Genomic DNA, 14,024 nt, shown 5'->3' on the forward strand with positions numbered 1-14,024 from the left:
GGGTGGCAGGAAAGGAACCAGCCTTCGTACGGCTCCGGGCCCGCGGGGCGGGGGCTCCCAAGCACACCGGGAACAGATACCGGCTCCGCCTGGGAACGACGCGGCCCACAGCCCACGCACAGAGCAGCCAGAGGCAGGCGCAAGACCACAGCAGCAGGACTGGGGAGGCAGAAGGGGGCCTGCAGGACCAACGCTGGGGAGGCTGGTGTGGAGTCAGGCCCCAGATGCCAGAGCCTCCAGGCTTCACTTGCAGGGCCTGGAGCCCAGCCTCCTATTCAGCAACGAAGAGGCTGCTGTCCCCCAACGTGAGTGTGCGGGGTGTGTGGACGTGGGGAGAGGGGAGTGGGTGTCGAGCCTGCTAAGTGTGGATGGGGTGTCTGTACTGGGGACAAAGGGACTCTCGCTCAGAAGACCCCATGTGCCAGGCCAGAGCGGCTCTGAAATGGATGTCTGGGTGGGCATGGGCCCATGTGGGGGGCTCGAGGGGGGTCACTCATGTGTCCTGGGATGGTTGCGTGACTCTTAGCTCCTTTGCCCTCATCTCAACCTGGGCTCCTCCAGCAGAATTTTTTCTTTTCTTTTCTTTTTTTTTTTTTTTTTTGAGATGAGGCTTGTTCTGTCACCCAGGCTGGAGTGCAGTGGTGCAATCTCAGCTCACTGCAACCTCCACCTCCGGGGTTTAAGCAATTGTCCTGCCTCAGCCTCCGGGGTAGCTGGGATTACAGGCACCCGCCACCGCACCCAACTAATTTTTGTACTTTTAGTAAAGATGGGGTTTCACCATGTTGGCTAGGCTGGTCTCGAACTCCTGACCTCAGGTGATCCACCCGCCTCGCCTCCCAAAGTGCTGGGATTACAGGCATGAGACACCGCACCCAGCCTCATCTGGCAGAATTTTTAAAACTGGGCTGATTTTACACAGCAGAAAACAAGAGGTTCTGACCAGGATGCAGCCACAGGATTCCAGATCTGTTTCACCGACCCGGGCGCATCCTGGCCACGCTGGGCCTGCCCCGGCCTTTGCTCCATGAGAACTCACTTCTGCAGGCCTGGCCCTGGCCCCTGGGCCTCTCCGTGGGGCCTCCCCGGACCGGCCAGCTCTGCCACACCCCTCAGCCCCAGGCCACCCCGCCTGCGAACCCCCACCCGCCTCACTCCTCCTTACCGGTATAACCGGAAGTCCTCCTCTGAGAAGATGTTCTGTATTTTATCCCCGAAGTATCTGTGAAAAAAGGAGTATTCACAAAGGTCACAACACTTCATTAATCTGTTGTTCATCTCCTTTCAGTTCAGCCATTCCTCAAGTCCCTGAAAATCAACTCACACATTCAGAGCAACTCCATTTCCACAATGATAACTGCTATAAAGGAGCCGGGCCGGGCGCAGTGGCTCACGCCTGTAATCCCAGCACTCTGGGAGGCCGAGGCAGGTGGATCACCTGAGGTCAGGAATTCGAGACCATCCTGGCCAACATGGCACAACCCCATCTCTACTAAAAATACAAAAATTAGCTGGGCATGGTGGTGCGTGCCTGTAACCCCAGCTACTCAGGAGGCCGAGGCAGGTGGATCACTTGAGGTCAGGAATTCGAGACCATCCTGGCCAACATGGCACAACCCCATCTCTACTAAAAATACAAAAATTAGCTGGGCGTGGTGGTGCGTGCCTGTAATCCCAGCTACTCAGGAGGCTGAGATGGGAAAATTGCTTGAACCCAGGAGGCAGAGTCAAATGAGTCGAAATTGCGCCACTGCACTCCAGCCTAGGCGACAGAGCAAGATTCCATCTCAAAATAATAATAATAATAATAAAAACAAGGAGCCAGCCGGGAGCAAGACCCAGGGCTAATGCATGAGGCTGACACGGATCCACGCAGGGAGGGTCTCTTTGCTCTCCCGGCCCCTCATGGAGCGTCAAAGGCCCCGTTGGATTCTTGGAAGCTGCTCCTGGGAGCCTCCCATCTCTGCTGCCTCTTGCTCCCATCCCTTCTGTCCCTGGGCCCACAAAAACACCAGATTCCCCTAAAGCTTCATGAACAAGCCCCCTGCCCACAGGCTGTGGAGAGTCCACACCTCCCAGCTCTTGCGTCCCAAAGAACCAGGAAGGACCCGGCCAACATCACAGCCACTGAGGCCCTGAGGCTGCACCGAGCCGGATCCTCCCTCACATGTCCACGTGTCCACATGTCCATGGCTAAGAGGCACGGAGCCGCTCACTCGGCTTTCAGAGCCAGCACTGAGGTCATGCTGCAGCACTCACCTGTACAGGTTCACAAAGTGCTTCCCGACAGACAGGGCCCCTGAGTGCAAGTCCAGAATGGATGCCTGGAAAAGACGTTGTGGAGTAAAGCGTGCAGCCGCAGCAATGGCAATGGCTGTTAAAAGTCATGGATGGTAAATGCGAGTTTCCAAGGTCTGGCCAGCACACACCTCAGGTGTTTTTTTGTTTTTGTTTTTGTTTTTTGTAAAAAGGATCTTATTCTGTTGCCCAGGCTAGGGCGCAGTGGCACAATCTCAGCTCATTGCAGCCTCAATATTCCAGGCTCCAGGCCAAACAATCCTCCCACCCTCTGCCTCCCAAGTAAAGGCGCTCGCCACCACACCTGGCTAATTTTTCTATTTTTTGTAGAGATGTGGTCTCACTATATTACCTAGGCTGGTCTCGAACTCCGGGGCTCAAGTGATCCTCCCACCTCAGCCTCCCAAAGTACTGGGATTACAGGCATTAGCCACTGCACCCAGCCTCAACCCAGGACTTTCTTAAAATCCTCCCAGACCGGCCAGACGTGGTGGCTCACACCTGCAATCCCAGCACTTTGGGAGGCTGAGACAGGTGGATTGCTTGAGGCCAGGAGTTCAAAACCAGCCTGGCTAACATGGTGAAACCCCATGTCTACTAAAAATACAAAATTAGCTGGGCATGGTGGCGAGCTGTAATCCCAGCTGTAGCTGGGACACCTACAGAGATAGCCTCCCAAGGAGCTGTAATCCCAGCTACTTGGGAGGCTGAGGCAGGAGAATCACTTGAATCAGGGAGGCGGAGGTTGCAGCGAGCCGAGATCGTGCCATTGCACTCCAGCCTGGGCTACAAGAGCGAAACTCCATCTCAAAAAAAAAAAAAAATCTTCCTGGACCAAACACTTTTGTTCCCTGTGACCTAAAGAATGGTGGCACGTGTGGGCTATTTTTAGTCTGGAGCCATCTCCGTGCAGCTCCGTGCCAGTCACAGTCATGTGTCCCTGTGGGCAAGTGTTGACTTCTCTCGAGTAAATGCCTCACAGCGGTGCTCCCACCTTGGCCTCCTGGGCGGCTGGCACCACAGTGCGCGCCACGCCAAGCCTGAGTCATCACTTTGTAAGCCACTGCTGAAGTGTTTCCTGCCCGACCACCCACCTCTCAGTCCTTCCCTACGTCCTCAGAGGAAGAGGCTTCCAGCCCACGTTAGTCATCCCACCTGTGACCCCAGAGGAGCCCCACTGCTGCCCCTTCCTCATCGCCACAGCCACTGGCCCTGCGGCACTAACCTAGCTTGGGCCCGCTGAACAGTAACTGAACCCAAAGCAGCGGCCCAGCCAGCTCCATGCAGGACAACTTCCCATGTGAACGTGGAGGAGCTGTGAAACAGAAACCTACTCACTCACAGATCTTTAACAAATAGCCCCCGAACTGAACCAAACCAAACTGAAATAAAGGGAGGAACTTAGGCCGGGCACGGTGGTTCACACCTGTAATCCCAGCACTTTGGGGGGTCAAGGCAGGTGGGTCACCTGAGCTCTGGAGTTCAAGACCAGCCTGGCCAACATGGTGAAACCTCATCTCTATTTAAAATGCAAAAATTAGCCGGGCATCATGGCACATGCCTGTAGTCCCAGCTACTCAGGAGGCTAAGGCAGAAGAATGGCTTGAACCCAGGAGTTGGAGGTTGCAGTGAGTGGAGATCGCCCCATTGCACTCCAGCCTGGGCAACAGAGCGAGACTCTGTCTCAAAAAAAGAAGAAAAAAAGGAACTTAATTTTCAGAACTCAAGAGAAAAGAGTTTGCAGAAAAAAGTCACACAGACCATCACAGAAATACTTTGAAATTCTCAAAGAGTCTATAAATTAATTTTCTAGAAGTTTCAAATATGCAGAAAGACTCAAGTCTATTCAGTGATTATAATTCAAAGCGATCACCAAATAAACAGAGAGAAACAGATCTTCAGACAATTCCACACACCGAGCAAGAAAACAACCCTGAGGAAACCGCATGGGAATTGGAGCTAACACCAGCTGCACCAGACTGACTCCCAGCCACTGCCCAACAGGAGGGCGAGGCCACAGCCGGCGGTGGCTCCATGATCCCTGCGGCTGTGGTAACACAAACTGGGGCTTTAAAACAACACAAGTTTATTCTCTCACAGTTCTAGAGCCCAGGAGTCTAAAATCGAGGTGTGGGAGGGGCCCTGCTCCCTCCCAGGGCTCCAGGGGAGGTCCTGCCCGCCTCTTCCATGGCCGCACTGCTCCCATCTCTGCCTCCATCATCACAGGACCTTTTCCTCCTCCCTCTCAAATCTCCCCCTGCCTCTGTCTCCTATAGGCACTTGCCATTGGATTTAGGACCCTAAATCTGGGATGATGTCATCTTGAGATCCTTAAGTTAATTACATCTGCAAAGGTCCCTTTTCCAAATCAGATCATGTCCACGGGCTCCAGGTGAACACATTATCCGAGGCCACTAGCTGACCCCCTGCAGCCTCACATGGGACGACAGCCCCACAGGGCGTCCATGGAGGCGTCCAGCTAGGAAGTTGCAGGATGCGTTGCAGCGTGTCTGTCCCACGGAGGCCCTGCTGTTTCCCGGCAGCTCCACGGGCTCTCCTGTGTCCAGCATGCGCAGCCGTCTCCTCGCTGGGCTCCCACCCCGCTCCCTTGCCGGCTCCCTGCTTCCGACCCCCTCTATCCCCCAGTGTGAACTGGAGCCAGGCAGGCCGTGACATGCCATGAATAGATGGCCACGCACATCTAAGGACACACTCTTCCCAACGAGGGGACGCCGCACGGGTTTCAGTCAGGCGCAGCTGCTGCGGCTGGTGCTGAGAAACACCACGGCAGGCCCCACCCACATTTGGGGGCACGCAGGGAACCCTGCATGTCTGTGCCTTCCCCTTCCCATCCAAGTGAGAGCAAAGTTAACGGGTAAAAAAAGGGGGGCAGGGACTACATTCAACTCACCCCTCCGTCAGATCCTCCCAGGGAGAGCCCCTTTTCAGCTACGCTGCAGGGAGAAAATAATTCAGAATTTCGTTGCTAGAATTGTCTATAATGTATAATCTAGGCAAACGTCAATCAGCAAAATTAATGCAACATTAGTGGGTCCTGCGTGTTTAATGTTTATGATGTAAACAAATGTTTAGACCAAAGGACTCAACTTTCAAAGTTCAGTGCGTAAGCGACAATACTGCCATCGTTGTCTTGTCAATATTTGACTCAGCTTAGAAACGACTGGGCTTCAGCACCTTGGGAGGCCAAGGCGGGTGGATCACGAGGTCAGGAGTTCCAGACCAGCCTGGCCAACATGGTGAAACCTCGTCTCAACTAAAAATACAAAAATTAGCCAGCTGTGATGGCAGGTGCCTGTAATCCCAGCTACTCTGGAGGCTGAGCCAGGAGAATCGCTTGAACCCAGAAGGCAGAGGTTGCAGTGAGCCGAGATCGCGCCACTGCACTCCAGCCTGGACAACAAAGCAAGACTCTGTCAAGAAAGAAAGAAAAAGAGAGAGAGAGAGAGAGAGAGAAAGGGAGGGCTGGGCTTAATCTCTCATCTTCAATATCGAAAGCCACCTGGGCCAAGCTCAGGAGCCTGGGGAGCATCTAGGGGAGGGCCCACTGCTCCCCATCTCTCCTGGAACCCCAGGCAGGTGGGGGAAGCTTTGAGATTCACCAGCTCAGGAGATAGGGGCCCTGACCATGGTGGGAGAAAGACACCCACACGCCAGCTGTGCTGGACCACAGAGGACCACCCTGAGCTGCCACAGGTGCTGGGAGCTGCCTGTGGACACCAAGTGGGGACACGCCGGTGCCTCAGTCAGACAGCAGTAACCCCACTGGAGCTAGGCAGCAGTAACCCTGCGTGGAGCTAGGCAGCATCCTCGGGGGCAGGCTCCCTGGGGAGAATCTCAGGGCAGGGCACGTGGCCCAGGGCTGCACACCATTCCACATGCTTATCGTCTCAACAAGTGGTTGGAAAATCAAAACTTTCTTTTAAGATCTCAGTAAGAAAAGTCCAGCACCAGTAGCCTCTGAGTGGCATCCTGTGCTGCCACAAGTCATAGCCAGGTGGGCTGACGGGCTCCCTGGAGGCAGTTTCAGAGCAGACACTGAGCGGTCATTGAGCAGTGTCCCGGAGGCTCCGTGGGGAGCATGGGGCACTCAGCAGCAGCCCCCAGAGGCGGCCACAACCCCTGCAGAGGAACCTGGGCCTCTGGGTACTCTCCCAGCTACTGCTTCGCTGAGGGCCATGGTCTCCTCTCCTGAAATCGGAAAATCTGAGCTTGGCCCTTGAAAGCACATAATTCTTTTTTTTTTTTTTTTTTTTTTTTTTGAGATGGAGTCTCACTCTGTCACCCAGGCTGGAATGCAATGGCTCAATCTCGGCTCACTGCAATCCCTGCCTCCCAGGTTCAAGCAATTCTCCTGTCTCAGCCTCCTGAGTAGCTGGGATTACAGGAGTGTGCCATCACACTCGGCTAATTTTTCATATTTTAGTAGAGACAGGGGTTTCACCATGTTGCCCAGGCTGGTGTCGATCTCCTGAGCTCAGGCAATCCACCCGCCTTGGCCTCCCCAAGTGCTAGGATTACAGGCATGAGCCACCGCACCCAGCCTGGAAATTCTTATAAAATTATAATAAAATCTTTTTTTTTTTTTTGGAGATAGAATCTCGCTCTGTCGCCCAGGATGGAGTGCAGTGGTGCAGTCTTGGCTCACTGCAACCTCTGCCTCCCGGGTTCCAGCGATTCTCCTGCCTCAGCCTCCTGAGTAGCTGGGACTACAGGCACATGCCACCACACCCAGCTAATTTATTGTATTTTAGTAGAGACAGGGTTTCACCATGTTGCCCAGGCTGGTCTCGAACTCCTGAACTCAGGCAATCTGCCCGCCTCAGCCTCCCCAAGTGCTGGGATTACAGGCGTGAGCCACCACGCCTGGCAATAAAATCCTTAAAACCACTTTATTACTAACAATGCTCTGCTTCCCGCCCTAGCCCCACTCCGCGTGTGTTTGTTTGAATCCCACCGTGCTCAGGGACAGGCGGTTACCTGCGAATCCGCTCCGCTTCCTCCCTGGTGATGACGACATCGGTGACACCTCTGCCGCACTTTCGGGGAGTGCAGCCTGTGAAGGGACAGCCAGGGTGAGACGCAGTTTCCAAGGCCACCGGCGCATGCCCTTCCAGGGAATCAGGGCCAGAACTGGCTAATACGCCCGGTCAAATGTGAATTTCAGACACACACAACCACAGCTCTCCAGCGTGCATGCGCTTTGTGCGGTGCATCTGGAGTTCACGTCTCACTGGGCCACCTTGGCTTCCAGTGGCTCCAACTGGAAATTTAATCCAGAGGCACCTGTTGCTGCCCCAAACCCTGGGAAAGTCACAGAAACCCCAGACACGGCGTCAACAGCATTCCTGAACCATCACTGACTGCAGGTCCAGACACCCACAGGCACCGTCAGAAAACCCTTCTGAGACCACCAGAGCAGAAAACCCTCCTGAGACCGCCAGAGAGGAAAACCCTCCTGAGACCACCAGGGAGGAAAACCCTCCTGAGGCCACCAGAGGGGGGAACCCTCCTGAGACCACCAGAGCAGAAAACCCTCCTGAGACCACCAGAGAGGAAGACCCTCCTGGGACCACTGGCGCAGAAAACCCTCCTGAGACCGCCAGAGAGGAAAACCCTCCTGAGACCACTGGAGCAGAAAACCCTCCTGAGACCACCAGAGTGGAGCTTGTGGGTCTAGTCCCAGTCCTTCCCCAGGGCACAGCGAACTGCTCCGCACATGCCCCTGTCTCTCCCCGTACCTTGGTGACCTGCGGAGGCTGAGAGGGAAGAGGAAGCAGCAGCTCAAATGGGGGTCAGGGTGGTCGGGGCAGGGGCAGGGTCGTTGGGACAGGAGCAACACGGTCGGGGCAGGGGCATGGTTATCGGGGCAGGGGCATGGTTATCGGGGCAGGGGCATGGTTATCGGGGCAGGGGCATGGTTATCGGGGCAGGGGCATGGTTATCGGGGCAGGGGCATGGTTATCGGGGCAGGGGCATGGTTATCGGGGCAGGGGCAAGGTCGTTTGGGGCAGCGGCAGTGTCGTTGGGACAGGATCAGAGTGGACAGGAGTCAGGGTCATTGGGCAGAGGAAAGGTGGACAGGGCAGGGGCAGGGTGTTTGGGGCAGGGGCAGGGTGGTCAGACAGGGTTAGGGTGTTTGGGGCAGGGTGGTCAGGGCAGGGGCAGGGTGGTCGAGGCAGCATCGCACAGATGCACAAGGTACAGCAGAGTGTCGGAGAGGGGCCCAGGGACCCGCCCCTGTGGTTTGGTACCAAGTGCAGCTGGCTTCATGCGCTGGAAAGGCGTCAGGCCATGCCTGATCGATCAGACAGCAGCCCACAAGCACCAGGACATGGGGCAAACCGGGACTCCACAATATGCTTTTCCTCCCTCTCCCTACATCCTGCCTAAAAAGCCAGCCCTGAGCCTGGACGTGGAGCATCCCTCCCGGGACCATGGGAATAAAAGCCTCGCACTCAGTGCTGAGTGCCAGCATCAGGGGCTTGGACCCAGGGATCACAAGGCACCGAGATGACCTTGGTTCCTTTCTCTGGGCCTTGTGCCAGGAGATAAACAGAGCTCCACTTGGCTGAATATCAGGGAAGGGGGGCTGTAGTTACTGTGGTTAAATGATCTAATGGACATAGGTGTTGTATTTCAAAAACAAAAAGTCATTTTATGCTTTTTTATAAGGTTTACCCCACAAAACGCGAGGACACAGGAAAGCGGAAAGCAAACAGCAAATGCAATGAGAGCCACACAGGCCCGTGGCGCAGCCTCTGTACTAGCAAAGAGAATCACTAGAGGGAAGAGAGGGTCCCCCGCGGCACAGGAGCGACTCGGCAGGAAGGGGAAGGGGCAGCAGACAGCAGACAGCATCGCCCCATGACACACGTGGCAACCAAAGCACAGACGCTGCTGGGTCCATGCTCAGTGGAGGTTCTGACGCCCCTTTCCATAGCCGGTGGGTGAAGGAGACAGAAACTGGTGATGAGAATTTGTGCACACGAGCGTGGGTCAGGAGAAATACCCACAACGTTGTGAAAAGGGACCAAAAATCCCACGCATTTCCAAATCTTTTAAATTTCCAAGTAATTCATGAGTTAAAAAACAATAATAATAAAAATTAGAGGCCAGGCGCAGTGGCTCATGCCTGTAACCCCAGGGCCTTAGGAGGCCAAGGCAGGTGGATCACCTGAGGTCAGCAGTTTGAGATCAGCCTGGGCAACATAGGCAAAACACCGTCTCTACTAAAATTACAAAAATTAGCCAGACATGGTGGCAGGTGCCTGTAGTCCCAGCTACTCAGGAGGCTGAGGCAGGAGAATCACTTGAACCCAAGAGGCCTGGCGGAGGTTGCAGTGAGCCGAGATCATGCCACTGCACTCCAGCCTGGGCAACACAGTGAGTGACACTCTGTCCAAAAAAAAAAAAAAGAAGAAAGAAAGAAAAAGAAAATACATCAAACCATTTGTTTTATTGTAAAATATATACAAGATAGAATTTACCATTTTAGCCAAGCTTTTTAAAAAGTGCGCAGTGTGGTGGCATCGGGCACAATAGCATCGTGCAGCCGTCACTAGCACCACCTCCAGAACTTTTCCACCTCCCACAGGTGAAATCCCAAATCTATTAAACATGGACTTCCATCCTCCCTCCCTCATTCCAACTTTTTTCTTTTTTGGCGGGGGGTCAGGATCTCGCTCTGTCACCCAGGCTGGAGTGCGGTGGCACACTCTAGGTTCACTGCAGCCCTGACCTCCTTACCTCCCAACCTCCTGGGTTCAAGTGATTCTTCCACCTCTGCCTCCTGAGCTGGGGTTACAGGCGTGCACCACCACACCTGGCCCATTTTTTATTTTGTAGAGATGGGGTCTCACTGTGTTTCCCAGTCTGGTCTTGAACTCTTGGCCTCAAGCGATCCTCCTGCCTGGGCCTCCCAAAGTGCTGGGATTGAGGATGAGCCACTGCTCCAGGCCATTGAAACTATTTTTAATGTCGATAAATTATTAATGATAACATGAAAAATTTCTGCTCCGTGCTAGCATTCAAAAAAGAGTTTTGGAAAGCTGGGATGTTAGAGAGAGAACTTCTGCTAAGAAAGAGAGAGCACCCACAACAACACACAACAGAAACACGTTCATTTTCTTGACTCCGAGGCGGTCCCGTCCCTCCCTGCGGCGCGGCTGGGACCACGTTCACGTGCGTCACAACGGCGCCCCTTTGTGGAAGAACTTGGCAATCTTTTCTTGGTTCAAGTGCAAAGCATTGAATTGAATTTTTAAAACCTGAATTCTGCCTCAAAAACCCAGCGGCGCATGCTGGACTTTTAAAACTAAGAATATATCCAGGTGGCATGGAATGTTCAAGAAAACAGAAGCGACAGGAGGCCTACAGGGGGTGTGCGGTGGCCGGCCCGGTCAGACCTGCTCCGAGGCCGTGCGCTCTCCAAGGTGCTGAACCCCGGCCCGGCCAACCGCAGCGCTGCTCCAGGCTCTGGGCTGCCCTGGAACCACCACCTCCCGCATCTCTCAGGCCCAGGCAGAACGGGAGCGGGGGAGGGGAGCTGGGGCACAGGACGGCAGAAGGGCTGCTGGTCGTTTCTTGTTACATTTTCCCCAACATTCTCTGACTCTACCACATTCTCCAGTCAAAAAATCTTTCTGGTTTTGACTTTCTCATCCCTATCTTTCCAAGGCAAACCATCTCCTCCGCTGGACCGCACAGCTTACTAAAACGCCAACCGTGGCCGGGCAGTGATGGGCAGGGCGCGAAACACCTGCACTCCCAGTCAGACGTGGACTAGCCAGCCTGCAGGAGGGGAGAGGTTGTCTGCTACCCCCAAGCATACCACATCCAACCCAATTCCCACCCCTTCGTCGCAGCCAATGTCCTTTAACCACACTGAGTCTCATTTTAAAGTGTTGCTTTCCTGAACTACCTTCGAACCTGCGGTGACTGTCGTAGTCCTCAGAGCAGGGCACCTCGATGAATCTCCCTGCCACGACCTCGCCACGGCGGGCCAGGACCTCTGCGACCCCGTCGTCGGCCCCCAAGCTGCTCCAGAGCAGGAGTGCGGTGAGCACAAAGCCAGCCCCCAGGCCCGCGGTCCTTAGCCACGGCCTCTGCCACAGCCTCTGCACCTCCCGCGGGGCTCGGTCCTTCTTGGTGCTGAGAACAGAAAACAGGCCACGTCACCCAAACACGGAGTGAGGCCAGAGAAAACGCTCCCCGATCATCAAAGTGCATGCACCATGACCCGGCCTTCACTCACACGTCACCCCTGAAACGAGGGCTTCCTGCCTGGGGCCAGCGCTGTCCACTCAGGAAACACGGACTCTTCCCTCCCTTTCCCTTCAGGGATCTCCAATACACACTAACTGCCTTCTGAGCCCGGGAGTTTGAGAAATATTGCAATAGAGACTCATGGGTTTTAAGCAAAAGAAAAAAAAAAAAAAAGCCAGACATGCTCCTTATAAAAGCCACTTCAGGCCCGGCGCAGTGGCTTATGCCTGTAATCCCAGCACCTGGGGAGGCCAAGGCGGGCAGATCACCTGAGGTCAGGGTATCGAGACGAGCCTGACCAACATGGTGAAACCCTGTCTCTACTAAATACAAAAAAAAAAAAAATTAACCGGGTGTGGTGGCACATGCCTGTAGTCCCTGCTACTCAAGAGGCTGAGGCAGGAGAATCATTTGAACCCGGGAGGTGGAGGTTGCAGTGACCCAAGATTGTGCCATTGCACTCCAGCCTGGGCAACAAGAGCAAAACTCCATCTCAATAAATAAATAAATAAATAAACAAACACACACCACTTTAATGTGAGATGTTTCACAACAAAATAAGGATGTTTAAAAGGGTTTGCTTAGCAAAATGGGACAGGATGGGGTGCCCTGTGGTGCAGCTGCTCTAGGACAGGCTGGTAGTGATGGGGGCCTCCACACAGGGGTGAACACTAAGGACGGGGGCCACTGGAGGAAGGTTGTTTCCAGGGTGGGGCGGAGGTGAGCCCCCTACAGCTCAGGTTATTCCATCAGGGCCGCACTCCCTCCCCTCCTGTAAAATAAGCTTCTCGTCTGTTCCAAGGAGCAGGTATTGGGCCTGTCCCAACAATGATAAGAGAGGGGCTTTGGACACATGTATTTCCAAAACTTGAATAGAGACTCATTTAAGGCATATTAGGACAATATTTCTTTTATTTTTTTATTTTTATTTATTATTTTTTTTTTTGAGACAGAGTTTCACTCTTGTTGCCCAGGCTGGAGTGCAATGGCACGATCTTGGCTCACTGCAACCTCTGCCTCCTGGGCTCAAGCAATTCTCCTGCCCCAGCCTCCTAAGTAGCTAGGATTACAGGCGTGCACCACCACCCCCAGCTATTTTTTTGTATTTTTAGTAATAGAGACGGGGTTTCACCACGTTGGTCAGGCTGGTCTCGAACTCCTGACCTCAAGTAATCTAACCGCCTCAGCCTCCCAAGGTGCTGCAATTACAGGCAAGCACCACCAGGCTCAGCCTCAAAAGTCTATATTTCTATATTAACCATTCAGTGCTGACAAAAACTGGTACTCGGTATTTCAGAAAATGTACAAGTTTACTGGAAATTTTTAAAATGTATTAATTAAATAACTTCTCATATTACTATTGAAGGAAATAGATACATGTATGTTTATACTTGAAATATTCTTTTGGAGAGATTTGGTTTTGGGAGAAGGTAGAATACTTATAAATCATCACTAGGTCATTCATTTATAAAATTATAGTTGCAAGCTAGTCTGATGGTAGTGGATCCCCAGAACTTATTAACCTTAGTGTCACCAACGTTGGTATACAACCCCCCACAACTAAATTTGACTGGCTTTTAAAAAATTATAGCTGTGGCCAGGTGCAGTGGCTCACGCCTGTAATCCCAGCACTTTGGGAGGCTGAGGCGGGCGGATTGCTTGAGGTTGAGAGTTCGAGACCAGCCTGGCCAACATGGTGAAACCCCATCTCTACTAAAAATACAAAAATTAGCCGGGCATGGTGGCGGGCGCCTGTAATCCCAGCTATTTGGGAGGCTGAGGCAGGAGAATCTCTTGAACCCGGGAGGCAGAGGTTGCAATGAGCCGAGATTGCGCCACTGCACTCCAGCCTGGGCAACAGAGCGAGCCTCTGTCTCAAAAAAAAAAAAAAAAATTATAGCTGTGAACTAGCATGAGGCATTTAAGATCCTATCTAGTAGACTCCAAAAGCAGCTGAGATGAAAAAGGGATAAAAATCTCAAGAACAAACTATGAGGTTTAAGAGTTATTGCAGTCTATCCAAACCTGAGGTGTCCTCCTGATATTTCTAAACTGACGACTTCAATGTGCAAATCGTCAATAGAGGGGAATTGGGCACTCCCCAAAAGAGCAAAATATTAATATCAAGCAAGCGAGAAGCTGTATTCTGCACGTTAGAGGCTCCTTCACTAATACCTGCAAACCAATGATCACCCGTAACATTTTAAAATCCTAAAACTAAGCCATTCCTCCATGGCACCCGATCCTCTAGAATTCCACGGGGAAAGCAGGTTTCGTGGTTTAAAAGTGAAGGCGGAGGCACGCTCCTGGCTCAGGCGGACTTTCCAGGCTGCTGGGTGGGTTATTCCACGGGACAGCGACAGCCAAACGGCAGGTTCCCGGAGCAGCAGCAGCAGCTCATCAGGCTGGGAGCAAAGCCCCCTTCTCTTTCTCCTGCCCCT

General features: G+C 53.3%; 1 protein-coding gene across 5 annotated transcripts in view; it reads right to left on the reverse strand.

Annotated features, from left to right (window-relative positions):
• The window catches only part of OGFOD3 (2-oxoglutarate and iron dependent oxygenase domain containing 3), a 29,377-nt gene that overhangs the window by 14,949 nt on the left and 404 nt on the right, over positions 1-14,024 (reverse strand). For 4 of the 5 annotated variants that reach the window (XR_007065458.1, XM_047436759.1, NM_024648.3 and 1 more), the window contains exons 2-6: positions 11,240-11,469; positions 7,297-7,372; positions 5,210-5,252; positions 2,260-2,324; positions 1,166-1,222 (exon numbers count right to left, since the gene is read on the reverse strand). Coding sequence is in view for 3 of the 5 variants with exons in the window: in XM_047436759.1 (XP_047292715.1) it covers positions 1,166-1,222; positions 2,260-2,324; positions 5,210-5,252; positions 7,297-7,372; positions 11,240-11,469 (471 nt within the window). In the remaining 2 variants the exon portion in view is untranslated. The remainder of the gene's footprint in view (positions 1-1,165; positions 1,223-2,259; positions 2,325-5,209; positions 5,253-7,296; positions 7,373-11,239; positions 11,470-14,024) is intronic. The other variant, NR_033265.2, reaches the window with a different exon arrangement.

The sequence above is a fragment of the Homo sapiens genome, chromosome 17, assembly GCF_000001405.40.
Source record: "Homo sapiens chromosome 17, GRCh38.p14 Primary Assembly".
NCBI lineage: Eukaryota > Metazoa > Chordata > Mammalia > Primates > Hominidae > Homo > Homo sapiens.